The sequence below is a fragment of the Homo sapiens genome, chromosome 16 (genome assembly GCF_000001405.40).
Source record: "Homo sapiens chromosome 16, GRCh38.p14 Primary Assembly".
NCBI lineage: Eukaryota > Metazoa > Chordata > Mammalia > Primates > Hominidae > Homo > Homo sapiens.
In genome coordinates, this window is record NC_000016.10 from 30,956,890 (window position 1) to 30,984,670 (window position 27,781).

General features: G+C 55.8%; 1 protein-coding gene across 8 annotated transcripts, besides 5 other annotated features; it reads left to right on the top strand.

Moving 5' to 3' along the window:
- Positions 173 to 936: an enhancer, noted in NCBI's record as "NANOG-H3K27ac-H3K4me1 hESC enhancer chr16:30968383-30969146 (GRCh37/hg19 assembly coordinates)". NCBI's record gives its function as "activates a minimal SCP1, AML or CMV promoter by ChIP-STARR-seq in naive H9 embryonic stem cells {active_cell/tissue: H9 hESC(naive)}" and the evidence as "EXISTENCE:reporter gene assay evidence [ECO:0000049][PMID:30033119]".
- Positions 394 to 523: an enhancer, noted in NCBI's record as "active region_10741". NCBI's record gives its function as "activates an Ori minimal core promoter by ATAC-STARR-seq in GM12878 lymphoblastoid cells {active_cell/tissue: GM12878}" and the evidence as "EXISTENCE:reporter gene assay evidence [ECO:0000049][PMID:35858748]".
- Positions 865 to 27,775, top strand: SETD1A (SET domain containing 1A, histone lysine methyltransferase). 8 transcript variants are annotated; one of them, NM_014712.3, is made up of 19 exons: positions 865 to 1,075; positions 1,828 to 1,992; positions 2,202 to 2,297; positions 4,378 to 4,648; positions 6,544 to 6,665; positions 7,205 to 7,434; positions 7,723 to 8,572; positions 8,712 to 9,497; positions 9,995 to 10,171; positions 10,612 to 10,699; positions 12,416 to 12,573; positions 12,713 to 12,800; positions 14,489 to 14,830; positions 22,256 to 23,305; positions 23,596 to 23,768; positions 23,850 to 23,960; positions 24,172 to 24,291; positions 26,746 to 26,883; positions 26,961 to 27,775. In NM_014712.3, the coding sequence occupies exons 2-19, from the start codon at positions 1,843 to 1,845 to the stop codon at positions 27,132 to 27,134; spliced, it is 5,124 nt and encodes a 1,707-aa protein (NP_055527.1). In that variant the 5' UTR covers positions 865 to 1,075; positions 1,828 to 1,842; the 3' UTR covers positions 27,135 to 27,775. The 8 variants fall into 8 exon arrangements, with proteins under 8 accessions (NP_055527.1, XP_016879398.1, XP_005255780.1 ...); XM_017023909.2 differs by having other exon boundaries at positions 865 to 1,036; XM_005255723.1 differs by lacking the exon at positions 865 to 1,075 and adding an exon at positions 1,081 to 1,235.
- Positions 1,124 to 1,343: a silencer, noted in NCBI's record as "silent region_7405". NCBI's record gives its function as "represses an Ori minimal core promoter by ATAC-STARR-seq in GM12878 lymphoblastoid cells {active_cell/tissue: GM12878}" and the evidence as "EXISTENCE:reporter gene assay evidence [ECO:0000049][PMID:35858748]".
- Positions 1,484 to 1,573: a silencer, noted in NCBI's record as "silent region_7406". NCBI's record gives its function as "represses an Ori minimal core promoter by ATAC-STARR-seq in GM12878 lymphoblastoid cells {active_cell/tissue: GM12878}" and the evidence as "EXISTENCE:reporter gene assay evidence [ECO:0000049][PMID:35858748]".
- Positions 6,660 to 6,807: a silencer, noted in NCBI's record as "fragment chr16:30974870-30975017 (GRCh37/hg19 assembly coordinates)". NCBI's record gives its function as "represses an EF-1alpha promoter that drives an FKBP-Casp9 reporter gene in an ReSE screen in K562 erythroleukemia cells {active_cell/tissue: K562}" and the evidence as "EXISTENCE:reporter gene assay evidence [ECO:0000049][PMID:32094911]".

Consider the following 27,781-nt stretch of genomic DNA (forward strand, 5'->3'; position numbering starts at 1 on the left):
TTATTACAAGGCCCATTTAAGGGCACTTAGGCCCCACTAGGCTCATCAGAAAACCTTGAGGCGGTCCCTGGATTTAACCACTAATGGTGGGTTTGAGTACGGCAAAGTAGGGCACCTTCTACAGGCCTCACTCTCCCCATCTGGCAAATGGGCATCCTAAGCAGCCAGACACCCAAGGGCAATAACGGGAAGGAAAGGTACCCTGCATTTATGTGCGAGGCGGGGCAAACCGCCTGAGTCACCGCTCACGGTTGTGTTTTTCCACCTCCCGGCCGTCCCTCCCATCCGGGTGAGTCCTCGTGGGTCCTCCCGGAGGCGCCCCCTAGTCCCAGGCTCTGCACGCCCTGGCCCCGCCCCTTGACTCGGCCCCGCCCACAGCGGAATCCGCAGATTCGCCAGGTCGGATCCTCAGAATTCCTCGGGTCCCTCGATACTCGGCTGAAAATTCTCATCGGACTCTGAGAGGAGCGCTGGGCTGGAGGCATTTTCCCCAGGGACAGAAGCGGGCTATTCTCTCACTTGGGCCAGTAAGAAAAATCCAAAAAAAGTTGTCGACTCTGCCAGCAGGGATTGGCTAACGGGCCGTTATTTTCTTGACTCCACCAAGGCGGATGAAGGGGAGGCTACGGCTGAGGCCGGGAACAGTGGCGAATCTGCAGCCTCTCAGAATTTGGCAGTGCAAGGAAGGGACGGGGAAGAGAAGCAAAGCGGCGCGCATCCTGTCCAGCGATTCGCCCCGCCCGCCCGGTGAATCTGCGTCTGCAGAACGCGCCACTGAAGGTTCCCCAGCGCTGGCTGGCCTCCTCCCCTCCGCCCCGCCCCTTTTCCTCAGGGACTAGTCGCAGCTTTCGTCGCCGCCGATTCGTCAAGGTCCCGGGCCGCAGCATCTAGATCGTCGTGGCGAAGCCGACTCTCCGGGGGATGCGGCCAATCTCCAAGCTCCCTGGGCCGCAACTTCCGAGCCTCCCAGGGCGCCGGCCGAGGCGAAGCCGCTACCCTCGGCCCCGTGGGTCCCCCGGCAGCGCCTGTGGCGAAAGTGCGAATGCAGACCCTGTGCCCGCTGGGCCTCGCGCAGGTGGCAGTGGTGTTTGGTGCGCGCGCCGGGGAGGTGGTGGTGGGGGGGCGCCGCCGCCGCCACCGCTGCGGGGCCGGGTCTCGCGCTGCCGCTGCCGCCGCCTCGCGCCGCTGAGGTGCCGCGCGAGGTGGGGGGAGGGGGAGCCGCTCGCCGGGAGCGGGTGAGTGGGGCCGCGCGGCGCGCGTGCGCGGAGACCTGCTGGGGGGGGTGCAGAACGCGCCGGGGCGGGAGGAGAGGGCAGCGGTGCACGTTCCCCCCACCCCCCCGCCCGGATTCGGGGTCGAAGCCGGGTCTCGGGCTCGGTCTCGCGGTGTTTCCAACGCCCCGAAGAGGTGCCACCTTTCGGCCGGAGGATCGGGGCGCGGGGAGGAGAGCGGGTGTGTGGGAGCCGTGGCCGGGCTCGGCCCGGGCCGCTGGCCGGTGAGGAGGCGGGAGGGGGCGGGGCCTGCAGGGGGCGGGGGAGGGGTCTTGCTCCGAGGCCAAGTGGGGCGCGCGCTAGGGAGAGCGGGAAGGTAAGGGGGCTCGAGACGGGCCTGGGGGCCTGACAGTAGAGTTGGGAGGTGGAAAGAGGCTGGGTTGTTGTGGCGAAACAGAGGGTACTTGGGGGAGAATCCGGGGGAGCCCCGGGTCAGGGTGAGGGTTGGAAACTGGAGTGATGGGAGAACCTGGAATCGGGGCTAGCCAATGAGGAAAGGCAGGGGAGTCAGGCCCCAAGTCCTGATCCTTCTTGCGTGTCCCTCTTCCCCTAACAGTGTAAATGAGCAAAGATGGATCAGGAAGGTGGGGGAGATGGGCAGAAGGCCCCGAGCTTCCAGTGGCGGAACTACAAGCTCATCGTGGATCCTGCCTTGGACCCTGCCCTGCGCAGGCCTTCTCAGAAGGTGTACCGCTATGATGGAGTCCACTTCAGTGTCAACGTGAGTGCCCGGGTCTTTGGTTGCCATCCGGGGAGCTCCAGGCGCCCGTCCTCTGTGATTCTGTTCAGCACCTAGAACGGTAGCCTGCCTTCTTGAAAGTGGGCAGTTGGACCCAGCTCTTCTGCATGTGTGTGTCCAGATGGGCTGCTTGGAGCTCCCTAGCCTGGATTCACCCTGAGCTCTCTTTCTGCTGCTGCTTTCCTTCCTAGGACTCAAAGTATATACCAGTCGAAGACCTCCAAGACCCCCGTTGCCATGTCAGGTCCAAAAACAGAGACTTTTCCCTCCCAGTCCCTAAGTTTAAGGTAAGTGTCTGCTGGGCTCCTGGTGTGGTAGTCCTAAGAGGGTGTGGAGGATGCGTCTTGGCACTATAGCTGAATAAAAGGGTTTCCAATGAAAGGATCTCAGCCAGATCTAGCAACCTCTGAGGCTGTGAGACTCAGTTGTTTTGGATAGGAGGTACACTTAATCTTCCAGAAAGGTGCAGGTCAGGTGTCCTAAGTGTATCCCTGGTGGCTGGGGTGTCGACTTCTTGAAGGGTGAGGTAAAGACTCTTTAGCTGCTATACCTATCACTGTATATTCGTAGACAGTGCATCATAGCACACAAGAGTGGGATCTCCCAGTTCCTTGACAGTCAAGGGGAGTGACAAGGCCACTGCCTACCTGGGTAGCACTATTCCCCGCCTCTCATTTGGCGATGTCATTTCCCTCTTGTTTCCTTCGAGGACTCCTATTCTCCACCCTAGACAAGATATTCTTCAGGCCTTGAACTGGGCCTGGAACACTGGTGGTTCTTCATTTCCTTCTCTGATTCTTTATTCTTCCTTTCTAAATAAATTGTTTGTGGGGTCCCTTCATTCTTCTTCTTCTTTTTTTTTTTTTTACTTTGTACACTTCACTTGGACAATCTCTTTCACACCCACAGCTTCAACTATTACCTAAATGTTGATGACTTCCAAGTATCTGTTTCCAGCCAACATCTCTAGGCTTGTATGCCTGGTAGGGGGACAGTTTCATTTGGAGGCCACACATGTTTCAGATTTAAGGGATTTAAAACAAATTATCTACCTCCTTAACCTACCTTTTTCATTTTCCCTCTACTCATATGTGGCAGTACCATCGACTCAGCTGTACAGCCTGGCAGCCTGTGATTCTCTCCTTTTCTCTCTCAGTTGGTCACCGAATCCTCCTGGCTCTTTTCTTTTTTATTCTTCATCTTTCTATTCTCATTGCCACTTAATGTAGACCTTGGTATTCATTTCACCTGGTCTCCTTGCCTTCGTTCTTGCCTCAGTTTCTCCTCTGCCTTGCTGTCATTTGTCTCTTTGGCTTCACTACGCTGCTGTTTTCCTTTTGTTGCCAAGTCCATGTTTTGGGACACTGACATGTATGGTTATTGACCTGGCCAAGCCTTATCCTCCGCCTTGACACCACACCCCTGTGTTACATCCACACCATAACGCTTTGCGGTTTTTCAAAAACACCAAGTTGTTTTATATTTCCATGTTCCAGGGGTCCTTGTCATTTGATGAATTGTTAATCCCCAAATCTCAGTAAGAATGACACCATCTTTATGAATTCTTCCCTGATCATACTCTGTACAAAAGTTTCCTTCCCTGGGCTCCAGAACACCATGTATGCGTCAGCTGCCACTGGGTCGTGTTGTGTTTGTATGTGCATGTCATGCTGCTTTTCTGTATGGGAATCTCTTCCTTTCTATCTCTGTATTTCCAGTGCCTCGTTCATGGTAGTTACCTAGTAAAGGCTGAGCTAGGAAATCATCGCCCTGTAGCTCGTTCTCTCCACGTATATTTATTCCTCAGTGTGTACATTTCTTTCTTTCTTTCTTTTTTTTTTTTTTTTTTTTTTTGAGACGGAGTCTCGCTGTGTTGCCCAGGCTGGAGTGCAGTGGTGTGATCTCGGCTTAGTGCAACCTCTGCCTGCCAGGTTCAAGTGATTCTCCTGCCTCACCCTCCTGAGTAGCTGGGATTACAGGTGCCCACCATCACATCCAGCTAAATTTTTTTTTTTGTATTTTTAGTAGAGACAGGGTTTTATCATGTTGGACAGGCTGGTCTTGAACTCCTGACTTCTGGTGATCCGTCCACCTCATCCTCCCAAAGTGTTGGGATTATAAGTGTGAGCTGCCACACCCGGCCTAGTTTGCACATTTCTGTTCTTAATTCTTGCTGTTATTCTGTGGTGAGAAGAATTCAGGGAAAAGGGGTCAGGTCTGATGGATCCCTTATTTTGGGCCCCTTCCCTTGCCCCTCACTTTCCCGGATCTCTCTCTTGACTTCATGGAGCTTGCTAAAGTTTCCCGAAGGACAAAGGAACAGTGGTCAGTGTTGAGACCCCATACCAACTCCTGTTCTTTCCCCAGCTGGACGAGTTCTATATTGGACAGATTCCACTGAAGGAAGTGACTTTTGCAAGGCTGAATGACAACGTGCGGGAGACCTTCCTGAAGGATATGTGCCGTAAGTACGGTGAGGTGGAAGAGGTAGAGATCCTCCTTCACCCCCGTACGCGCAAGCACCTGGGCCTGGCCCGTGTGCTCTTCACCAGCACTCGGGGCGCCAAGGAAACGGTCAAAAACCTCCACCTTACCTCCGTCATGGGCAACATCATCCATGCCCAGCTTGACATCAAAGGTGAGGACTCCTCTGCCTGCCACTCAGGCTTGGCCTCCAGCGGAGGTTGTACATGCAAATGCCTGTCAGGGTCAGGCAGGCGCCCAGGGTCATGATCTGAAACTGCTGGGGCCAGTTGTGTTTCTGAAATCAGATCAGATTTTAGAGTGGAATTATGGTACATGGATTTTTGTGTGTGTGGTGTCTCCAGCAAGGTCGGGCAATAGGCCATAATCAAGCACATAACTATCTGTAAAAAAAAAAAAAAATCATATGAAGGGTTGTACTAGGTAAGATGAATAGATTGTAGTAAATCAGCCCAGGTCAGGTTGGTTGCTTGGTTGGTTTTTGAGACAGGATCCTGCTCTGTCACCTAGGCTGGAGAGCAGTGGCGTGATCTTTCCTCACTGCAGCCTCCAGCTCCTGGGCTCAGCCACCCCAGCCTCCTGAGTAGCTGGGATTATGGGCATGCACCACCACACCTGGCCAAAGTTTTTTTGATTATTTGCAGAGATGAAGTCTCACTACACTGCCCAGCCTGTTTTTAATTTTTTTTTTTTTTTTTTGAGATGGAATCTCAATCTGTCGCCCAGGCTGGAGTGCAGTGGCACGATCTTGGCTCACTGCAACCTCCACCTCCCAGGTTCAAGTGATTCTTCTGCCTCAGCCTCTTGAGTAGCTAGGATTACATTTATGCGCCACTACGCCCGGCTAATTTTTGTATTTTTAGTAGAGATAGGGTTTCACCCTGTTAGCCAGGCTGGTCTTGAACTCCTGACCTCAAGTGATCTGCCTGCCTCGGCCTCCCAAAGTACTGGTATTACAGGCATGAGCCACCATGCCTGGCCTCTTTTTAATCTTTCTATATGCTATTCTATAACCCATATAGGTTTTGGTGCCAGATTCTCAGAAATACTGGATTTTCTGGGTTTTTAGGTTTGGAAATTTGAGATAGAGAGTAAAGGAGCTGTGAACACAAGCGAGGTGGTCTGGGCTTCTGTGTTGAGTGATGGGGAGCAGTGGGGTCTGTGGCGAGCTGCAGATTGCAGTATTGTCTGGAGGAGGCAGCCATTAGTAGGCACTGGCCAGTTTGCAAGTGGAAATGAGGTTTAACATTCTTGAATTTGGTTTGTAAAAGAAAGCCAGGGCCGGGCATGCGGTGGCTCACGCCTGTAATCCCAAGACTCTGAGAGGCCAAGGTGGGCAGATCACCTGAGGACAGGAGCTCGAGACCAGCCTGGTCAACATGGTGAAACCCCATTTCTATTAAAAATAACAAAAATCCGGACGTGGTGGTTCATGCTTATAATCCCAGCTACTCGAGAGGCTGAGGCATGAGAATCACTTGAACCTGGGAGGTGGAGATTACATCGTGCCACTGCACTCAAGCCAGAAATTTGGGTTTTTGTGTGAAATCTCATGGTTTTTAAATACCATGTTTCTTTCCTCACAAGGTGTTTCTGAGGTGTTCACTCCACAGCTCCTGCAGGCTCCGTTAGTCCCCCGGTTGCTGTTCTGCATGCTTTAGTTTACAGGATAAAGAGCATGGGGTGATCGAGCCTCTGGGTTTGAATTCCAATTTTTCCAATGACCAATTCTGTGACTTTGTGTAGGTCGCTTTTAAGCCTCTAGAACAGAGGTACTGATGCTTCCCTTCTGGTGATCCAACATGGTAAAATAAGTAGAAGTGTTTTTGATAAATCGTGAAGTGTCATAAAATATGTTGTTTGTGGTAGTTTAGAGGTAGAGATAAGGTAGAAGGTCCCAAAGGTAGAGTTATGGTAGGAGAACTGAAATCCTGAAACCCAGATTCCAAGAAATTGTAGGAAACTTGAGGCCTGAGAAAGCAGGAATACCAGATCAGGAAGGAGTTAGTATCTCCATCTGACAATTGGTTCCCATTTCCCTCCCTCCAGGACAACAACGAATGAAATACTATGAACTAATTGTCAATGGCTCCTACACCCCTCAGACTGTGCCCACTGGGGGCAAGGCCCTGAGTGAGAAGTTCCAAGGCTCGGGTGCAGCCACTGAGACGGTGAGAAGTTTGTGGCTACCACAGCCCCTAGCCATGTGGGCATGGTGTCCGGGTGCCCGGAGCAGGAGCAGTCTTCGGGAGGTTCCGGGCTTTCCCGTTAAACAAAGAAGAGCCAAGCAAAGCTGCTGAGATGCTTTCAAAAGACAGGGAACTAGGGGCCAGGCACAGTGGCTCACGCCTGTAATCCCAGCACTTTGGGAGGCCGAGGCGGGTGGATCATGAGGTCAGGTGATTGAAACCATCCTGACTAACACGGTGAAACCCCATCTCTACTAAAACTGCAAAAAATTAGCCAGGCATGGTGGTGGGCGCCTGTAGTCCTAGCTACTTGGGAGGCTGAGGCAGGAGAATGGCATGAACCCGGGAGGCGGAGCTTGCAGTGAGCCGAGATCACGCCACTGGACTCCAGCCTGGGCAATAGAGCGAGACTCCGTCTCAAAAAAAAAAAAAGGGAACTAGGATTCCTGGTTTGGGAAAGGGCAGGTCTCAAGTGGTGTTTGAGCCCATTCCTCTCTCCTTGCCCTGCTCTGTCGCTCTAGGCCGAATCCCGCCGCCGCTCTTCCTCTGACACAGCTGCCTACCCAGCAGGCACCACTGCGGTGGGCACTCCTGGCAACGGCACCCCCTGCTCCCAGGACACAAGCTTCTCCAGCAGCCGACAAGATACCCCATCTTCCTTTGGCCAGTTCACACCTCAGTCCTCCCAAGGAACCCCCTACACGTCTCGGGGCAGCACCCCCTACTCTCAGGACTCTGCCTACTCCAGCAGGTACAGAGCAGACCCCGCCTGGGGCCCCGCCCGCAAAGTCTGGGAGCTGCCACTGGGAAGAAGATGCCCAGAGTCTGTCTCCAAGAGGGAGTTGGAAATAATTTGTCCTAGTTTCTCTGTGGATTCAGTCAACAAATTGCTGTCCTCGGGGAACACACTAGCTAGGAACCCAACATATAGCTCTTCTTTTGGAGGGCAGCATAGAGGGGCTTTGGGCCCTGGGACCCAGTACGCTGTGGTTTGGTCATAGAGAGCTGAGTCCAGCTAACTCCCCTGCTTCTTCTCCAGCACCACTTCAACCTCCTTCAAGCCCCGGCGGTCAGAGAACAGCTACCAAGATGCCTTTTCCCGCCGCCACTTCTCTGCATCTTCAGCCTCCACAACCGCCTCCACGGCCATCGCCGCCACCACTGCAGCCACTGCCTCATCCTCCGCCTCTTCCTCCTCATTGTCCTCGTCCTCCTCGTCATCCTCTTCCTCCTCGTCCTCTCAGTTTCGTAGTTCTGATGCAAACTACCCAGCGTATTATGAAAGCTGGAATCGCTACCAGCGCCATACTTCCTACCCACCACGCCGGGCCACACGGGAGGAACCCCCTGGAGCCCCTTTTGCTGAAAATACAGCTGAGCGCTTCCCACCTTCTTACACCTCCTACCTGCCCCCCGAGCCCAGCCGGCCCACCGACCAGGACTACCGGCCTCCTGCCTCAGAGGCTCCACCCCCGGAGCCTCCAGAACCTGGTGGAGGCGGGGGTGGAGGAGGGCCCAGCCCTGAGAGAGAAGAAGTTCGGACTTCCCCCCGCCCAGCCTCCCCTGCCCGCTCTGGCTCCCCAGCCCCGGAGACCACCAATGAGAGTGTGCCCTTCGCCCAGCACAGCAGCCTGGATTCCCGCATCGAGATGCTGCTGAAGGAGCAGCGCTCCAAGTTTTCCTTCTTGGCCTCTGACACAGAGGAGGAGGAAGAGAACAGCAGCATGGTCCTTGGGGCCAGAGATACAGGGAGTGAGGTGCCTTCTGGGTCAGGGCATGGGCCCTGCACACCCCCTCCGGCCCCAGCTAATTTTGAGGATGTGGCACCTACAGGGAGCGGGGAGCCAGGGGCTACCCGGGAGTCTCCCAAGGCAAATGGACAGAACCAGGTGAGGTTGGGGTCAGCCAGAGGAGGCACCTGGGCTCTGGGAGTCAGGGTTGGGCCTAGGGGAGAGGGAAGGGAACCAGATGAGAAAGTAGGGCTTGGGTCAGGCAGAAGCCTTCTGTGACCCTCTTCTGCCCCCGCAGGCTTCTCCATGCTCTTCTGGAGACGACATGGAGATCTCCGACGACGACCGGGGTGGCTCACCCCCTCCGGCCCCGACGCCCCCTCAGCAGCCTCCGCCACCTCCCCCTCCCCCGCCGCCTCCTCCTCCCTACCTGGCGTCCCTTCCTCTTGGTTATCCTCCCCACCAACCTGCCTACCTCCTCCCACCCAGACCTGATGGGCCGCCGCCCCCTGAGTACCCCCCACCTCCTCCACCACCCCCGCACATCTATGACTTTGTGAACTCCTTGGAGCTCATGGACCGACTTGGGGCTCAGTGGGGAGGGATGCCCATGTCCTTCCAGATGCAGACCCAGATGTTAACTCGGCTCCATCAGCTGCGGCAGGGCAAGGGATTGATTGCCGCCTCAGCTGGCCCCCCCGGTGGGGCCTTTGGGGAGGCCTTCCTCCCGTTTCCACCCCCGCAGGAGGCAGCCTACGGCTTGCCGTATGCTCTATATGCACAGGGGCAGGAGGGCAGAGGGGCATACTCACGGGAGGCCTACCACCTGCCCATGCCAATGGCAGCCGAGCCCCTGCCCTCCTCCTCAGTCTCGGGAGAGGAGGCCCGGCTGCCACCCAGGGAAGAAGCAGAGCTGGCAGAGGGCAAGACCCTCCCGACAGCAGGCACCGTGGGCCGTGTGCTCGCCATGCTGGTCCAGGAGATGAAGAGCATCATGCAGCGAGACCTCAACCGCAAGATGGTGGAGAACGTGGCCTTCGGAGCCTTTGACCAGTGGTGGGAGAGCAAGGAGGAGAAGGCCAAGGTGAGGCCAGCGCCTGGGACCGGGGAGCCCTGGGCTTTGCAGGAGGAAATGGGCCTCTGGCTCCTCCAGGCTGCACAGCTCAGAGGAGACAGGTGATGGAGGCGAGTGGAGAGAGGCCGCAGGCCCTGCAGGCCACCCTGGGTGGGCAGGGGAGTTGAGGGGACAGAGAAGCAGGCACAGATGGGCCTGGGAGGCAGCAGAGCTTTGTCCTGGCTCCATTCCTTGCTGGCTTGCAGTGGACAAGGCCCTTAGCTCTCTTCAAGCTTTGGTCTTCCATTTTGCCACTTGTGAAGTGGGAATGGTGGCTATTTCTTAAGACTGGTGGGCGAAATGACAGACTTTTGAGAAAATGCCGTGCGGGGGCTGGGACAGGTGTGACCAAGATATGGAGCAGCAAGTAGATGCGTTCTGTATTCCTGGGGTCCGGGAGTAGGTCTCAGGCAGGAGGGAATGCCTGGGTTCTGGGCGCTGGGGCTCAGCCCCACTGCTGCCTGCAGCCATTCCAGAACGCGGCCAAGCAGCAAGCCAAGGAGGAGGATAAAGAGAAGACGAAGCTGAAGGAGCCTGGCCTGCTGTCCCTCGTGGACTGGGCCAAGAGCGGGGGCACTACGGGCATCGAGGCTTTCGCCTTTGGGTCAGGGCTGAGAGGGGCCCTGCGGCTGCCTTCATTCAAGGTACTCAGAACTGTCGTTTTGTGGGGTAGGGTGGGGAGAGGGAGAGGGGGCCCCCTTCCTTGGGGTAGGGGTGGTCAGGAACCATGAGTGTTTGAGTTTTTTCTTTTTTTTGAGATGGAGTCTTACTCTGTTGCCCAGGCTGGAGTGCAGTGGCCTGATCTCAGCTCACTGCAACCTCCGCCTCCCGGGTTCAAGCGATTCTCCTGCCTCAGCCTCCCGAGTAGCTGGGGTTACAGGCACCCGCCACCACGCCTGGCTAATTTTTGTATTTTTAGTAGAGCTGGGGTTTCACTGTGTTGGCCAGGCTGGTCTTGAACTCCTAACCTCAGGTGATCTACCTGCCTTGGCCTCCCAAAGTGCTGGGATTACAGGAGTGAGCCACCGTGCTCTGCCTGAGTGTTTGAGCTCTAAACAGGCCCCATCTTTTCCCCATCCCCCAGGTAAAGCGGAAAGAGCCATCGGAAATTTCCGAGGCCAGTGAGGAAAAGAGGCCTCGTCCCTCCACTCCTGCTGAGGAAGATGAAGACGGTGAGCAGGGTCAGGCATAAGGAGAAGGGGTGTGCTGCGTGGGTTCTGATGGGAGAGCAAGAGGTAGGGATGAAGGGGTCAGGTCGTCCTGAGGGCACAGCCAGGTGGAGGTGCAGGGTTGAAATGCAGCAGTTCTGAGAGGTATGGGATGCACCAGGTAGAGTTATCCCCGGATTGTAGTTGCAGGTCTTCCTCTGGTCTGCTGATTTACATTTTCTGTATTTTGGGTTTTTCCATCCATGAAATTCAGTGTCTGGAATCACAGAATTCCGAGTTAAACGAGGCATCTCCCCAAGTTTCCCACCTGATGCTAATGCCCTCCTACCACCTTCCTCCTAGTTTGCCTGAGTTTGAGCCCTTGCTTGATAGCTACCATGGCCTGGAAACTTGCCCATTGAGTCAGATCTGCTTCCCTGGAGACCCACTGGCCTTCATACTCTTTTCTTGGGCCAGGCATAACAAGTCAGCTCCCTCTTCCACCCGACCAGAAAATGATACAAGATCAAATGGACAGGACATATTTAAAACTGTGTGGGCTGGGCGCAGTGGCTCCTGACTGTAATCCCAGCACTTCCAGAGGCTGAGGCAGGAGGATCACCTGAGGTCAGAAGTTCAAGACCAGCCAGGCCAACATGGCACAACCCTGTCTCTACTAAAAATACAAAACAGCCAGGCATGGTGGTGTTCACCTGTAATCCCAGCTACTTGGGAGGCAGAGGCACGAGAATCACTTGAACCCAGGAGGTGGAGGTTACAGTGAGCCAAGATTATGCCACTGCACTTCAGCCTGGGTGATAGCACGAGACTGTGTCTCAAAAAAAAAAAAAATACATATATATATATATATGTACACACACATATGTATATACACACAAATATATACACACACACATATATATATACACACACATATGCGTATCTGTATATATTAAGGCCAGGCAGGGTGGAGCTCACCTGTAATCCCAGCACTTTGGGAGGCCGAGGCGGGTGGATCACAAGGTCAAGAGATCGAGACCATCCTGGCCAACATGGTGAAACCCCGTCTCTACTAACAATAGAAAAATTAGCCAGGCGTGGTGGCGGGTGCCTATAGTCCCAGCTACTTGGGAGACTGAGGCAGGAGAATTGCTTGAACCCGGGAGGCAGAGGCTGCTGTGAGCTGAGATTGTGCCACTGCACTCCAGCCTGGCGACAAAGCGAGACTCCGTCTCAAAAAAAAAAATATATATATATATGCCAGGCACGATGGCTCACGCCTATAATCCCAGCACTCCAGGAGGCTGAGGCAGGAGGATCACTTGAACCCAGGAGTTCAATACCAGCCTGAGCAACATAGGTAGACCCTGTCTCTACAAAAATTTTTAAAAATTAGCTGGGTATGATTGCATGCCCCTGTATAGTCCCAGTTACTCAGGAGACCGAGGCAGGAGGATCGCTTGAGCCCAGCAGGTTGAGGCTGCAGTGAGCTGTGGTCATGCCACTGCACCCCAGCCTGAGTGACAGAGCAAGACCCCGTCCCAAAAACAAAAACAAATACAAAACTATGAAACATGAGGTAACTGAGGTGTTTGAGTTCCTCTGGTGAGCTTCCAAATTCTCATCTGTGAAATGAAGACCATCAGGAAGATTGGTAATAGTATATGTAAAGCCCCTTGCACAGGGCAAGTATCTTGTGGTTGATGGTAAATTTCCCCAACTACCACTCTGCTGGCCTAGACCCTGAACAAGAGAAGGAGGCTGGAGAGCCAGGACGTCCGGGGACCAAGCCCCCGAAGCGGGACGAAGAGCGAGGCAAGACCCAGGGCAAGCACCGCAAGTCCTTTGCTCTGGACAGCGAAGGGGAGGAGGCATCCCAGGAGTCCTCCTCGGAGAAGGTGAGGGCCCGGGCGCCGGCTCCTGGCCGAAGCCTACTTCCCATAGCCAGCATCTTTGTGGTTGGAGCCCAGGCAGCTGTGCCTGGTGTAGGACCAGTTGTCCCCTTCCTGTTAGTCCTCATTTGTCTTTTTTCTTAAGGATGAGGAGGATGACGAGGAAGATGAGGAAGATGAAGATCGAGAGGAAGCTGTGGATACCACAAAGAAGGAGACAGAGGTGTCGGATGGTGAGCACAAGACAGTGAAATCGACTTTGGGCTCGGAGGAGGGGTTCGGCTGCCTGGCTAGCCCTTTTCTGAGCCCACATGACCTTCCTGCTGGGCTTGTGGGTCACCTTTGCCTTCTGCAAGGGCATCTGTTTGGGCCACATTCTTAGGAACCCTTGGCCCCTTGACAGCAATAAGCTCAGTGCTCAAAATGCTCCCTCCTGCTCCCTCTTCTGCTGAGACATAGCTGTCCAAAAGGACAGCCTGGCAGAACGCTTTTTTTGTTTTGTTTTTTGTTGTTGTTGTTGTTGTTGTTTTGAGAGAGTTTCGCTCTTGTCGCCCAGGCTGGAGTGCAATGGCGCAATCTCGGCTCACTGCAACCTCCGCCTCCTGAGTTCAAGAGATTCTCCTGCCTCAGCCTCCGTTGTAGCTGGGATTACAGGCACCCACCACCACCCCCAGCTAATTTTTTGTATTTTTAGTAGAGACAGGGTTTCACTATGTTGGCCAGACTGGTCTTGAACTCCTGAGCTCAGGCGATCCACCCACCTCAGCCTCTGGAAGTGCTGGGATTACAGGCGTGAGCCACCACACCCAGATTTTTTTTTTTTTTTTTTGAGACAGAGTCTCGCTTTGTCACCCAGGCTGGAGTGCAGTGATGTGATCTTGGCTCACTGCAACCTCCGCCTCCCTGGTTCCAGCGATTTTCCTGCCTCAGCCTCCCAAAGCGCTGGGATTACAGGTGTGAGCCACCACACCTGGCTAATTTTTGTATTTTTAGCAGAGATGGGGTTTTACCATGTTGGCCAGGCTGGTCCCAAACTCATGACCTCAAGTGATCCACCCACCTCGGCCTCCCAAAGTGCTAGGCTTTCACCTGTGAGCCACTGCACGCAGCCTCTTGCAGCAGTCTTGACTGATTTCCCTGTCTCTCTTTCTGTCCTTCTCCCTCTGTTCCAGTCCATTTTCCAAACTGCTTATAGAATCTCTTTCCTAAAATGCACTCCTGACCCTGTGACTTCCCTCCATAAGGTCCTTCCTGGCAACTTGTTCTCCACAGGGTGTCCCCCCAGGCCAACACCATGGGCCGTTTATCTCCTGGCCCTGCTCTGTTCAGCTCCATCTCGCCCTCCTCCAGTCCGCTCCCCAGCTGCCACCACCTTCTAGTCTAACTTATCCAATTCTGTTCCTCAAAAACTGTGAAATTCTTCAGTTTTTTCGAGTCCTTCCCGTACATGAGCAGTCTCAGAATATAGAGCCTGTCGTGTTTTTTAACCTTTTCAGCCCAGAATCCTTTTTCACCCAATCCTTCGTCCAGACTGGGTCCTGAGACCCACTTTAGGAAGGTTTGAGTGCCAGAGCAGCCTGCTTCCCAGTCTCCAAGCCTCCACTTCCTCTTGCTTCCGACATCCCTGTGCAGTCCCCATGTCTGTGTGGTGGACTCCTTGTCCTTGAGTTCAGCTTGTCCCCTGGGATGCTTTCCTTTTCGGGCCTCTTCAGACAGAGTCTGGGGCTTCCTTTGCCATCCTCCCCGCATGCTGATGTTTATCTCACAGTGAAAATGGTTTGCTTATGCAGCTCCTTGGTCTGTTGGACTTCCCCGTCCCTAGCCCAGAGCCCAGCATCCACAGCAGGGAGTGAGTGAGGAGCCCACGGCTGGCCAAGTGAGGTCTGCCCACCTCTCCTGACTGCCCCTTCTGGATTTCCAGGCGAGGACGAGGAAAGCGATTCGTCTTCCAAATGTTCTCTGTATGCTGACTCAGATGGCGAAAATGACAGCACATCAGACTCCGAGAGCAGCAGCTCTTCCAGCTCCTCATCCTCCTCCTCCTCCTCGTCCTCATCCTCCTCGTCCTCTTCATCCTCTGAGTCCTCCTCTGAAGATGAAGAGGAAGAGGAGCGGCCAGCAGCCCTTCCCTCAGCCTCCCCGCCCCCCAGAGAAGTCCCAGTGCCCACGCCAGCACCTGTGGAGGTGCCAGTGCCGGAAAGGGTTGCAGGCTCCCCAGTCACACCCCTGCCCGAACAGGAGGCGTCTCCAGCAAGGCCTGCAGGTAGGTGCCACAGGGCTGTCGGTTAGATCGCTGTGTGTGTGAGAGAGAGAGAGAAAACAGTGGTGCTTGCATTTATTGTGTACAAGTGTGTGACTTTATTAGAAAAACATACAAAGAAAATGTCACCATCTCCTGTCACTACCTTCTAGAGACATTGATTGTCTGACACACTTCAAACTGTACCGTCATGGTGGTTTACAGAACCCCAGGCTAAGCTGCATACTAAAGTAAAATGGGTTGGTCTCTTCTCAAGTAAATTAAGGAGAAAGTGCCCAGTTGAATAAGTTCTTCCTCCTAATTTTTCTTAAGCCTGTTCTTCAGTGAGTAGTGAACAAGTGCAGGTTATTAAATGGGCAAATAGGTAGAAAACAAGTATTAACATAACACAGAACTTGGTCCTAGCTGCTTTTCTTTGTTCATTTGTACGTCTAGTTGTTATACTCTAGCACATTCGCATAGCTTAGCCTGCTGAGGGAACCGCTCTTTCAAGCAGTAGATATTTTTTTGAGTGCTCATCGCAGCCAAACAGTAGGTGCAGGGGATGGGTTGCTGAGCCTCACAGGCAGTGTTCTCACTCTCATCATGCTTACAGTCTACAGGGAAAGACATCTTCATTGAGTAAGAAATACATAGGAGGCCGGGCGCGGTGGCTTACGCCTGTAATCCCAGCACTTTGGGAGGCCAAGGCGGGTGGATCATGAGGTCAGGAGATCGAGACCATCCTGGCTAACATGGTTGAAACCCCATCTCTACTAAAAAATACAAAAAATTAGCCAGGTATGGTGACAGGCACCTGTAGTGCCAGCTACTCAGGAGGCTGAGGCAGGAGAATGGCGTGAACCCAGGAGGCAGAGGCTTGCAGTGAGCCGAGATCGCACCACTACACTCCAGCCTGGGCGACAGAGCGAGACTCTGTCTCAAAAAAAAAAAAAAAGACCAGCCTGGGCAACATGATGAAACCCTGTCTCTACAAAAATTACAAAAACTAGCTAGGCGTGGTGGCGCACACCTGTGATCCCAGCTGCTCGGGAGGCTGAGGTGGGAGGATCACTTGAGCCCAGGAGGCAGAGGTTGTAGTGAGCCAAGATCACACCACTGCACTCCAGCCTGGGTGGCAGAGCGAGACCCTGTCTCAAAAAAAAAAAAAGAGAGAATACCTAGGAAAACCTGTGGTTACGAACCATGAGAAGCACCAGGAAGAGGCACAGGGCAGCCAGCCGGAGCACATCTGCAGGAGGAGGAAGGCTTCCTGCTGAGGTACTGCTGGGCTGAAGTCTGGGCAAAGCAGGCAGCACGGCTGGCTTAGCGTGTGCAAAGGCCCTCCAGCAGGGGAAGCAGCGGGTTGGAAGACTGGAAGAAAGCCGACCCTTCAGAGGGTTGAGCACAAGGGGGCACTGGGGTGGCTGAAACTGGAGAAGTGAGTGAGAGTTGGGCCCAGCAGACAAATAGGCCAGCCATGTCAGGAATTTGGCCTTTATTTTGAAGTAGAAACCCATCAGAGGAATGACATGGTCAGATGTATGTTTCGAAAAAATGCAGTGCAGAGAAAGCTTGGAAAGGGGCCACAGTGGATGTAGGGCGCTTCTTAAGTGGCTATTGTAGAATGTAAGGCGAATTATGGTGATAGCTTGGACTTAGGGTGTTGCAAGGATAGATCAAATAAGTCAGTGTTCAAGATGTGCTATGAGCTTTAGGAGGCCGAGGCGGGCAGATCACTTGAGGTCAGGAGTTCGAGACCGGCCTGATCAACATGGCGAAACCCCATCTCTACCAGAAAATACAAAAATTAGCCAGATGTGGTGTTGTGTACCTGTAGTCCCAGCTACTTGGGAGATCGAGGCACGAGAATCGCTTGAACCCGGGAGGTGGATGTTGCAGTGAGCAGAGATCATGCCACTGCATTCCAGCCTGGGCAACAGAGTGAGACTCCATCTCAAAAATCAGATGTGCTGTGAAGATGTGCATGGCCTCCCGGGGTCTCCCAGTTGCACGTTGTTGAGAATCCGTGGTCTGAGATAGGCAGTGCCCACAGGAAGACCTCCTCACCCTGGTGCACTCTACTAAGCTCCAGACCCCATGAGAGGGGAGTTGAGGCGCTCATTACACCTCAGATGACTCTCCAACCTCTTCTGGGCCCATTGGGTAGCAGAAGGGCCTGTGGGGTCACCGGCAGGTCAGAAGGCATGGATCTTAGTCCTCTTCCATTCTCATCAGAGCAGGAAGGAGAGGGGCCTGACCATATCTGCATTTCAGAAAGCCCATTCTAGCAGGAGGAGGAGAGATTTGGAAGAGAGGAGCAAGGAGGTGGGTGACATGAGGAGGTTTGAAAGGATGCAGGTGAGATTTAATGGCATGAACCAAAGCCGAGCGGTTCTAATGTGGCAGAAGAGTGGAGTGGAAATGGGGGTGAGGATTGGAGGGAAATTTAGGAGGTAGGATGATTTGGTTAAACTTCCCCAGGAAAAGAAACTTGGGAAGAAAACCAGGATTAGGAAGAAAACTGATGAGTGTAGTTGAGGTTGCATTTGAGGTGCCCCTTGGGCTTCCCAGTAGAAACAGTGGCAGTTGGATCCATGGATCTGGGGTCTGGAAAGAACGGTAGGCTGGATATGAGGTCGGTGCTTAGGTCTTGAAAGTGTAGCAGTGAATTCACCTATAGACCCAGGTAGGCGAGTGGGGGGAGAGAAAGGGCAGAGCCTTCCCATCCTGTGAGAGCAGTGGGCAAGCAGGGCCCGAGGAGGCTGAGAGCGGTGACCAGAGGCGAGAAGGGAAGCAGGTAGTGGAGAGGCTCTGCAAAGCAGGGAGTGGCCTTGTATCACCAGGCCACCAGCAAGGCTGAGATAGGAAGTATCTGTTGCATTTGACAGTTAGGAGGTCATTGGTGACCTTATCAATTTCAGTTGAGTGGTTCAGACTGAAGCCAAGTTACAGGGTGTTAAGGAATGAGGGGAGGGCAGTTTTCTGGAAGGGTGGACCACTCTTGCTGAGATAGAAAGGAGAGTTGGGGCCGGGCGCAGTGGCTCACACCTGTAATCCCAGCACTTTGGGAGGCTGAGGTGGGCAGATCACTTGACGTCAGGAGTTCGAGACCAGTCTAGCCAACATGGTGAAACCCCATCTTAACTAAAAATACAAAAATTAGGCTGGGTGCGGTGGCTCACGCCTGTAATCCCAGCACTTGGGAGGGCTGAGGCGGGCAGATCACGAGGTCAAGAGATCAAGACCATCCTGGCCAGCACCAACATGGTGAAACCCCATCTCTACTAAAAATACAAAAACTAGCTGGGCATAGTGGCACATGCCTGTAATCCCAGCTACTCGGGAGGCTGAGGCAGGAGTAATCGCTTGAACCGGGGAAGCAGAAGTAGCCATGAGCCGAGATCGTGCCACTGCACTCCAGCCTGGTGACAGAGCGAGACTGTCTCCAAAAAAAAAAAAAAATTAGCCATGCATGCTGGCAGGCGCCTGTAATCCCAGCTGCTCAGGAGCCTGAGGCAGGAGAATCACCTGAACCTGGGAGGTGGAGGTTGCGGTGAGCCGAAATTGTACCACTGCACTCCAGCCTGGGCGACAGAGCGAGACTTCGTCTCAAAAAAAAGAATTGGGGGTTGTGATATCAGCTCCCATGTGTCAAGTACCTATGTGTGCCAGGCTCTAGGCATAGCATGTTGACAATTCATTTTCTCATTGAATCCCCACAACCTCTCCCTTTTTTTTTTTTTTTTTTTTGAGATGGAGTCTCATTGTGTTACCCAGCCGGGAGTGCAGTGGTGCAATCTCGGCTCACTGCAACCTCCGCTTCCCGGGTTCATGTGATTCTCCTGCCTCAGCTTCCCAAGCAGCTGGGATTACAGGTGCACACTGCCACGCCTGGCTAATTTTCGTATTTTTAGTTGAGACAGGGTCTCACCATGTTGCCCAGGCTGGTCTCAAACCCCTGACCTCAAGTTATCAGCCCACTTTGGCCTCCCAAAGTACTGGGATTACAGGTGTGAGCCACTGCGCTTGCCCCACAACCTCCCTGTGATTCCCATTTTATAGATGAGGGCTTCAAGGCTTAGTGAGATGCAGGAACAAACTAAGGTTACCAGCCAGAGCTGGAGGGAGAGCAAGAAGAGAGGGCAGGGTTGAGGGAGGGGTTAGCTTTTCCAAGTAGATGAGGTTTGGGCATGTTCCACTGAAGGGAACGGGCCAGGTAGATGTGCCGGGAGAGAGGAATGCTTGCTGGCATGGCCTTTTTGGGGAGGTGGAGGAGTAGCTTCCAGATCTGATGCAGTTATACCCTTCGGTGGGGAGGCAGGGAGATGGGGGTGTTGTGCCTGAGTCCTCTTTTGACCCTGTTGCTGTAGGACTGTGAGAGGAAGAGTGGAGTAAGAACCTTGGAAAGTGGAGAAAAGTTGCTCCAGTCCAGGCGCGGTGGCTCACACATGTAATCCCAGCACTTTGGGAGGCCGAGGCAGGAGGATCTCTTGAGCCCAGAAGTTCGAGACCAGTCTGGCTAACAACAACAACAAAAAAAGCCAGGCATAGTGGCACATGCCTGTGGTCCCAGCTTCTGGGGAGGCTGAGTCGGGAGGATTGCTTGAGCCTAGGAGGTTGAGGAGGCTGCAGTAAACAGTGATTGTGCCGCTGCACTGTATCCTGGAGACAGAGCAAGCCTCTCGCCTGGGCCTCCCCATGCTGGAAGGCCTTGCCAGAGCTGGGGCCTGGGAGTGAGGGGAGAAGAGGCTGCTGGCTGGCTCCACAGGGTAAAGGTGTGGTGGAATGATGAGGACCTGGGGCTGTGCTGGGACAGGAGAGGGCAAAGTACGGGCCCTGGGGTCTGGGCAGGGTGGAGGAGGAAGTTGGGAAGAGGGTGATGTGCTAGAGGGAAACTGAAGGATGGGAAGTTGAAGGTGCAGTGGGGCAGACTGAATGGACAGTGGGGAATGTTGGAGAGGATGGGGAATCTCCAAGGCGGAGCCATTCTGGGATTGACAAGGCCAGGTGTGTGGCTGCTTGAGGGGAGCTGAGGGTGATTGAAGGGGATCACTGGAGATGCAAGAATCCAGGTAAACAGGCGTGATTGCCAAGTCCCCTGGGGAGGTGGCAGAGGTGGAAGAGGAGAGGAAGATGCAGGCAGCCCCTTGGTGTCTGGATAGTGAGAGGGCACGACAAGGGAGTCTGAGTTACCGAGGACAGAGGAGCCGTGGCTCAGAGCAAGGGGTGCTTAGTGAAGGCTCACTGTGTTTCTTCTCTTTTTTTTTTGAGATGGAGTCTCGCTTTGTCACCAGGCTGGAATGCAGTGGTGCCATCTCGACTTACTGCATCCTCAGCCTCCCAGGTTCAAGTGATTCTCCTGCCTCAGCCTCCCGAGTAGGTGGGACTAAGGCACGCGCCATCACGCCCGCTAATTTTTGTATTTTTAGTAGAGACGGGATTTCACCATGTTGGTCAGGATGGTCTCGATCTCTTGACCTCATGGTCCACCCGCCTCGGCCTCCCAAAGTGCTGGGATTACAGGCGTGAGCCCCCTCGCCCGGCCAGCTCACCGAGTTTCTAATAACCAGAACCAGTTTCAGTCACCACCGTCTTAGTGATTGCCGCCTGGGGATGTTAGTGATGGCCCTGGGGAGGGGCAGGTTATGCAGTAGGAACTGGCTTCTGGGGCCTCGCCCCATGGACCTGAGCGTGGCAGTAGAGCAGTTCTCAGAGGAAGGTGGTGGGAGTCATATTGACTGGGCAGGTGCCCCCAAAAGTTGTCTCCTAAATGAGAGGGATGGGCAGGTTCCCTTTGGGACAGTCGCAGAGGGAAGTGTGTGTGCAGCAGCTGTGCTGGTGGAGGAGTGTGTTCTTCGAGCGAGGCTTCCCGAGGACATGCATGCTGAAGCGTGAGGTGGTCTGTAGGGGGCGCTGCCCCAGCGTGGTGGGGAGGAAGGTGAGAGGAGGCCTGCATGCATCTGGGTCCTCACTGGCTTCCTGGAGTGGGTTGCTGCCACAGGCTGAGACCCCAGCGGGTGTCTAGAGCCTAAGGTGCAGCCAAGAGCCTGGCTCAGGGCGCCAGGGTTGGGAGTGCGGTGGACTCAGGTGAATCGCTGCCTCCTAGGGCCGGGCCTGGTGCCGGCGGCCCTGTTGGCGCTGAGCGGGGAAGCCAGTTGTGAAGCCAGTGAGTCCGTGGGCTGCAGTTCAGAGCATGAGCTCAACCCACATGGCCTGGGAGCAGAGCTTGTTCTGTCATCTGGTAACTGACCACATCTCTGTGCCTCAGTTTTCCTGTCTGTAAGATAGGACCCTCTGCTGGGTACAGTGGCTCACGCCTGTAACCCCAGCACTTTGGGAGGCCGAGGCGGGCAGATCACGAGGTCAAGAGATCGAGACCATCCTGGCCAACATGGTGAAACCCTGCTTCTACTAAAAATACAAAACTTAGCTGGGTGTGGTGGTGCATGCCTGTAGTCCCAGCTACTCGGGAGGCTGAGGCAGGAGAATCGCTTGAACCCGGGAGGCGGAGGTTGCAGTAAGCCGAGATTGCGCCACTGCACTCCCACCTGGCGACAGGGCGAGACCCCATCTCAAAAAAAAAAAAAAAAAAAGATAGGAACCTCTTTGGGCTGTTGTGAGGATTACATGAGTTACTCTACGTAAGAGGTGTGATTGGTGTTAGGCACAAAATCCATTGGGCTGGCTCTGAGAGCCTCATGCAGGCTTTCCCAGGGATGGCGGCCAAGGGAGGATGCACTCCCCGTCCTGAGGGTACGCTGGGGAGGCAGCACCCCCAGCTCGGAGCCAGTGTGTTCCCTCCCCAGCCACCCGCATCCTGGGATCTCCACTCCAGCCCTGCTTCTCTAGCAGCGCTGTCTCCTGCCCCTCCCTGCAGGGCATGTTCAAATTCTGTAGGGGATGGGGAGGAAGGCAAGTTTCATAAAATATTTTAATACAAAGATGCCACTTTTTAGGTTGTATCGTGTTCACCTTGCTAAACTGAGAATATTGTTTATGATGGAGATAATGGATATTTTAGCTGAAATGTGGCTGACTGGGTCCTTGGCATGTGACATGGCTGGGGCCTGGGCACAGGGCTGTCCCGCCAGTCTGGGTAGGAAAGTGGAGTCCAGGGCGAGTGGTGCCGCCCTTCTCAGCGTGGTTACAGCTTGTTGTGATGGTGTCTCCTGTTGGACTGTGGCTCCGGGAGGACATGGAAGGTGTGTGTGTGGACTCCGAGTGTCCCACACACGTGTCACAGCGGGAACGAATGGGTGGGAAACCCCCTCTCATCAAGGGAGTTCATCTTGCTGGGATGTGGGGCTGAGGCCAGGGCGTCTGTGTTCCCTCCGGGGTTCCTGGGCGGAAGTGGGGGAGAGCACACAGCCTGTGGTCATGGGCGGCCAGGGTGGCTGAGCCTGGGTCTCCCTGACCTCCTTTCCTTCCTATGTGCTTCCTTCCCAGGCCCCACGGAGGAGTCACCCCCCAGTGCGCCTCTGCGTCCCCCAGAACCACCTGCTGGGCCCCCGGCCCCTGCCCCACGCCCCGATGAGCGTCCCTCTTCTCCCATCCCCCTCCTGCCCCCACCCAAGAAACGCCGGAAAACTGTCTCCTTCTCTGCCATCGAGGTGGTGCCAGCCCCGGAGCCCCCTCCAGCCACACCGCCGCAGGCCAAGTTTCCCGGCCCAGCCTCCCGCAAGGCTCCCCGGGGCGTGGAGCGGACCATCCGCAACCTGCCCCTGGACCACGCATCTCTGGTCAAGAGTTGGCCCGAGGAGGTGTCCCGAGGAGGCCGGAGCCGGGCTGGAGGCCGAGGCCGCCTCACCGAGGAAGAGGAGGCTGAGCCAGGGACAGAGGTGGACCTGGCGGTCCTGGCCGACCTGGCCCTGACCCCTGCCCGGCGCGGGCTGCCTGCCCTGCCTGCTGTTGAAGACTCAGAGGCCACAGAGACATCGGACGAGGCCGAGCGCCCTAGGCCCCTGCTCAGCCACATCCTCCTGGAGCACAACTATGCCCTGGCCGTCAAGCCCACGCCCCCTGCGCCAGCCCTGCGGCCCCCGGAGCCAGTGCCCGCACCCGCCGCCCTCTTCAGTTCCCCAGCTGATGAGGTCCTGGAGGCCCCCGAGGTGGTGGTGGCTGAGGCGGAGGAGCCCAAGCCGCAGCAACTGCAGCAGCAGCGGGAGGAGGGCGAAGAGGAGGGGGAGGAAGAGGGGGAGGAAGAGGAGGAGGAGTCCTCTGACAGCAGCAGCAGCAGCGATGGGGAGGGCGCCCTCCGGAGGCGCAGCCTCCGCTCCCACGCCCGGCGCCGCCGCCCTCCGCCCCCACCCCCGCCGCCACCGCCCCGCGCCTACGAGCCACGCAGTGAGTTTGAACAGATGACCATCCTGTATGACATTTGGAACTCGGGCCTGGACTCAGAGGACATGAGTTACCTGCGGCTTACGTACGAGCGGCTGCTGCAGCAGACAAGCGGGGCTGACTGGCTCAACGACACTCACTGGGTCCATCACACAAATATCCTGAGTGTGGGCGGCCTTCCCCGGGCTTGGGTCCTCCCCCGACCCCTCCAGGCACCTGCATCTGTGCCCCACTCTGTCTGCCTCCCCTCTGGCTCCAAGCCATCTTTTCTCTCCTCCTGGTGCCTCTTTTCTGCCTTCCAAAGCATTTCTGGCAGGAACGATGGGGCTGGGGCTTCCTCCCCTGTCCCTCACCTGGGTATGCTCAGCGGCGTGGGCCCCGCCCTCTCCTTTGGCTGGGACGCAGGTGGCCAGAGAGGAGCCGTTCTCTTCCTTAACACCCTGCACTCACCAACCTGACCACCCCAAAACGCAAGCGGCGGCCCCAGGATGGGCCCCGGGAGCACCAGACAGGCTCAGCCCGCAGCGAAGGCTACTACCCCATCAGCAAGAAGGAGAAGGACAAGTACCTGGACGTGTGCCCAGTCTCGGCCCGGCAGCTGGAGGGCGTGGACACTCAGGTGGGCCTAACCCCGCCGCCGCGTCCTCCTGCCACTCACTTCCCTGCCCTGCTCACCTCCTCCCTGCCGTGTGTCTCACAGGGGACGAACCGCGTGCTGTCCGAGCGCCGGTCCGAGCAGCGGCGGCTGCTGAGCGCCATCGGTACCTCCGCCATCATGGACAGTGACCTGCTGAAACTCAACCAGCTCAAGGTGAGGCTGGGCTGCAGGAGGGGCTGGGTGGGGTGGGGTGGGGCAGGAAGGGGCAGAGGCCAGGGGACCACCCAGCAGGCTCCTGTGGTTCCCTCGGGTGGAGTTGGGGGGTAAGCAGCCAGAACACCCTCTGCCCAGGAAGTCTGTGGGAAGAGTGAGGGTCTGGGGTGTGGGAGGTGTCTGGCAGTTGAGTCTCCCTTCTGCCCCCCAGTTCCGGAAGAAGAAGCTCCGATTTGGCCGGAGCCGGATCCACGAGTGGGGTCTGTTTGCCATGGAACCCATTGCTGCTGACGAGATGGTCATCGAATACGTGGGTCAGAACATCCGTCAGGTGAGGCTGCACTCCCAGCCCCGCCCCGGCTTCTGATGCAACAAGACAGCATGGGGGCTCACACACATGCTGTTTGTCCGGTTAAAGCCTTGCACACTCCCTAACCCCGGTACCTAGCCAGTGAGACCAGCCTCCCTCCGGTGTGGTCAGCAGGTGTCAGTGGTCCAGCAGGAGGCATGGCTGATGGCACTGCTCCCTTTCTTTTTTTGTTTTGAGACATAGTCTCTCTCTGTTGCCAGGCTGTAGTGCAGTGGTGCGATCTTGGCACACTGCAACCTCTGCCTCCTGGGTTCAAGCGATTCTCCTGCCTCAGCCTCCCGAGTAGCTGGGACTACAGGCGTGTGCCACCATGCCCAGCTAATTTTTGTATTTTTAGTAGAAATGGGGTTTCACCATGTTGGCCAGGATGGTCTTGATCTCCTGATCTTGTGTTCTGCCTGCCTTGGCCACTCACAAGTGCTGGGATTAACAGGCGTGAGCCATCGCATCCAGCCAAGCGCTGCTCCCTTTCAAAGGGCCTGGGAAGCGGGAGGACAGGCACTGAACAAGTATCCACACAGAAGGATGGTGTTCCAGCCTGAGCAATATTGCCAGACCCCGTTTCTGCAAAAAATACAAAAGCTAGCCGGGCGTGGGGGTACATGGCTGTGGTCCCAGCTACCCAGGAGGCTGAGGTGGGAGGATCACTCGAGACCACGAGGTGGAGGCTGCTGTGAGCCAAGATTGCACCACTGCACTCCAGCCTGGGCAACAGGGTGAGACCGTGTCTCTAGAAAAAACAAAAGCCAAAAGGATGGCATTTGGTATTAACAAGATCTTAACAAGATCTGGGGAGTTGGGCTATGGGAACACACACCTGGGGGGCCTAAGACCTTCCAGAGACCATGGTGCTTGAGTAAAGCTGAAAGGAGCTCGCAGGCCCAGACAAGTGGTAGTGTGTGTGCGCTTGGTTGCGAGACACCATGTGCACAAACCTGGAGGCACGGTCGTCTTGTGAGAGTGTGGAGGTCAGCTTGGCTCATTAGAAACCAGGGCCATGGCCAGGCGCGGTGGCTCATGCCTGTAATCCGAGCACTTTGGGAGGCTGAGGCAGGCAGATCACCTGAGGTCAGGAGTTCGAGACCAGCCTGGCCAGCATGCTAAAACCCCGTCTCTACTAAAAATACAAAAATTAGCCAGGCGTGGTGGCAGGCGCCTGTAATCCCAGCTACTAGGGAGGCTGAGGCAGGAGAATCGCTTGGACCTGGGAGGCAGAGGTTGCAGTGAGCCAAGATCGCGCCATTGCACTCCAGCCTGGGCGACAGAGCAAGACTCCGTCTCAAAAAAAAAAAAAAGAAAAGAAAAAACAGGGTCAGTGGCAGCGACGTGTGGCTGGAGGGAACAGAGAGCCCAGACCGCACGGGCTTGGGAGCCTGTGAATCCACTTGGGCCTGTGGTGAGAGAGGAGGAAAGTCCCGGAGCTTTCTTCAGGAGAGGGTCCTTCCGCAGGAGAGGGTCCTTCCGCAGGAGAGGGCCCCATGGCTAGTGAGCTCCATGTCTAGGCTGACACCAGTATCCAGGCAAAGGCAAGGGTGGCCCGACCCAAGCAGTGGCAGCAGAGGTGACAGAGAGGAGGCTTTGGGTGCAAGGTGGTTGGCTGGGCTCAGCAGTGAGAGGGTGAGGGGGACGGGAGGCCCTCTCTCGGTGCTGCTCTTAGCTGCTGGGAGTATGATGGGAGGGCCAGTGAGATGGGTGTGAGGAGGAAGAACAAATATATGGTCAAGATGAGCTCCAGTCTGGACATGTGGGGTTGCAATGCCCCAGGGACATCTAGGGGATGACGCCCAGCAGCTCCACTGAGGTGGCTTTTGGCTGGAAATGGAAGTTTGGGAGGAGTCCCCACCACATAGCTGGCGGCTGAGGCTCTGGAAGGGAGTGAGGTCACCCGAGGAGGGCGTGCAGAGGCTCCTCACTGTCTTCTGGGAAGTAAGGGTTGCTCCTCACACGGAGGTGCGGGGCCTGACATGGGCGGCCTGCCATTTGCATTAGCCGGTGGCAGCCAACAGGTGCCTGTTTTGGAGAGAGGTCCAGGGAGGAGAGATGAGCAGGGTGCCGTTGGTGACATGGCCAGTCATTTCAGGAGCTGCCCCAACCCCAGACTTGCCCCAGCAGTCCGGGACCCCACTGTGACCAGGCAGATGCTCGAAGGAGTCAGTGGCTCTCTTACCCAGTGCAGATTTCCCTGGAGTTCCCTGCGGGTGACTTAGAATGGCCACCAGAGGCTTAGGATGCTGCCCCAAAGAGGGAGGGCTCCTGGAAGCAGAGTCGAGAGAGTCAGTGCCGGGTTAGCGGGAGCTGGAGGCAGAGCTGCAGCTCCAGGCCTGGTGGGCGTGGACCTGGGGTGCTGGCTGGCAGGCGTGCTCAGGGGCAGGAAGTGGGGGACTCTTCCCTGACCATCGCATCTCACCCTGGCAGATGGTGGCCGACATGCGGGAGAAGCGCTACGTGCAGGAGGGCATTGGCAGCAGCTACCTGTTCCGGGTGGACCACGACACCATCATCGATGCCACCAAGTGTGGCAACCTGGCCAGATTCATCAACCACTGCTGCACGGTGCGCCAGGGGCCAGCCGGGGCAGGAGTTGGGGGTCGGTGGGGGTGGCCACGGCTCACACGCCCTTCCATCCGCAGCCTAACTGCTACGCCAAGGTCATCACCATCGAGTCCCAGAAGAAGATCGTGATCTACTCCAAGCAGCCCATTGGCGTGGACGAGGAGATCACCTACGACTACAAGTTCCCACTGGAAGACAACAAGATCCCGTGTCTGTGTGGCACAGAGAGCTGCCGGGGCTCCCTAAACTGAGGTGGGGCAGGATGGGTGCCCACACCCCTATTTATTCCCCCTGGTGCCCTGAGCTCCCAGCACCCCCCCAGCCTTAGTGGGCTCAGCAGGGCCCACATGCCCCCATCTCCAAGCGTGGGGTTGGGGGCCCCAAGCCCAGCGAGGGAGCCTCAGTCCCTGGAGGCAGCTTCTGCCTCTCCTGTCACCCCTGCCCACCACCCCCTGATTGTTTTTCTTTGCGGAGAAGAAGCTGTAAATGTTTTGTAGCAGCCAGCAGCTGTTTCCTGTGGAAACCTGGGGTGCCGGCCTGTACAGATTCTGTCCTGGGGGGCTACACAGTCCTCTTGCTTTGTGTTAATGGGGACTTCCCCTTACGCCCTGCGTGTACCCCTCCCCAGTTTAGGGGTCTCTGGGGCAGTGGCCATGTTCTCCCCCTGGGGGGGCTCTGCACCCCCAGTCCTGGGGACTCCGTGCCTGGAACCCTGCCTCATCTGTTCCTGCCAGACCCTGAGGGTCACCCTTCCACCCTGGTGTCACTCCCCGGCTCAGCCAGGCCAGGATGGCGGGGTGGGTCCCTTTTGCTGGGCTGGACTGTACATATGTTAATAGCGCAAACCCGACGCCACATTTTTATAATTGTGATTAAACTTTATTGTACAAAAGTGTTT

Excerpts from the sequence above, each read along its gene's own strand:
- SETD1A (NM_014712.3), top strand. The coding sequence starts at position 1,843 with ATGGATCAGGAAGGTGGGGGAGATGGGCAGAAGGCCCCGAGCTTCCAG. Across the intron at positions 10,172-10,611 it reads TGCGGCTGCCTTCATTCAAG|GTAAAGCGGAAAGAGCCATC; the intron begins GTACTCAGAACT and ends CCCATCCCCCAG. Across the intron at positions 12,801-14,488 it reads GGAGACAGAGGTGTCGGATG|GCGAGGACGAGGAAAGCGAT; the intron begins GTGAGCACAAGA and ends CTGGATTTCCAG.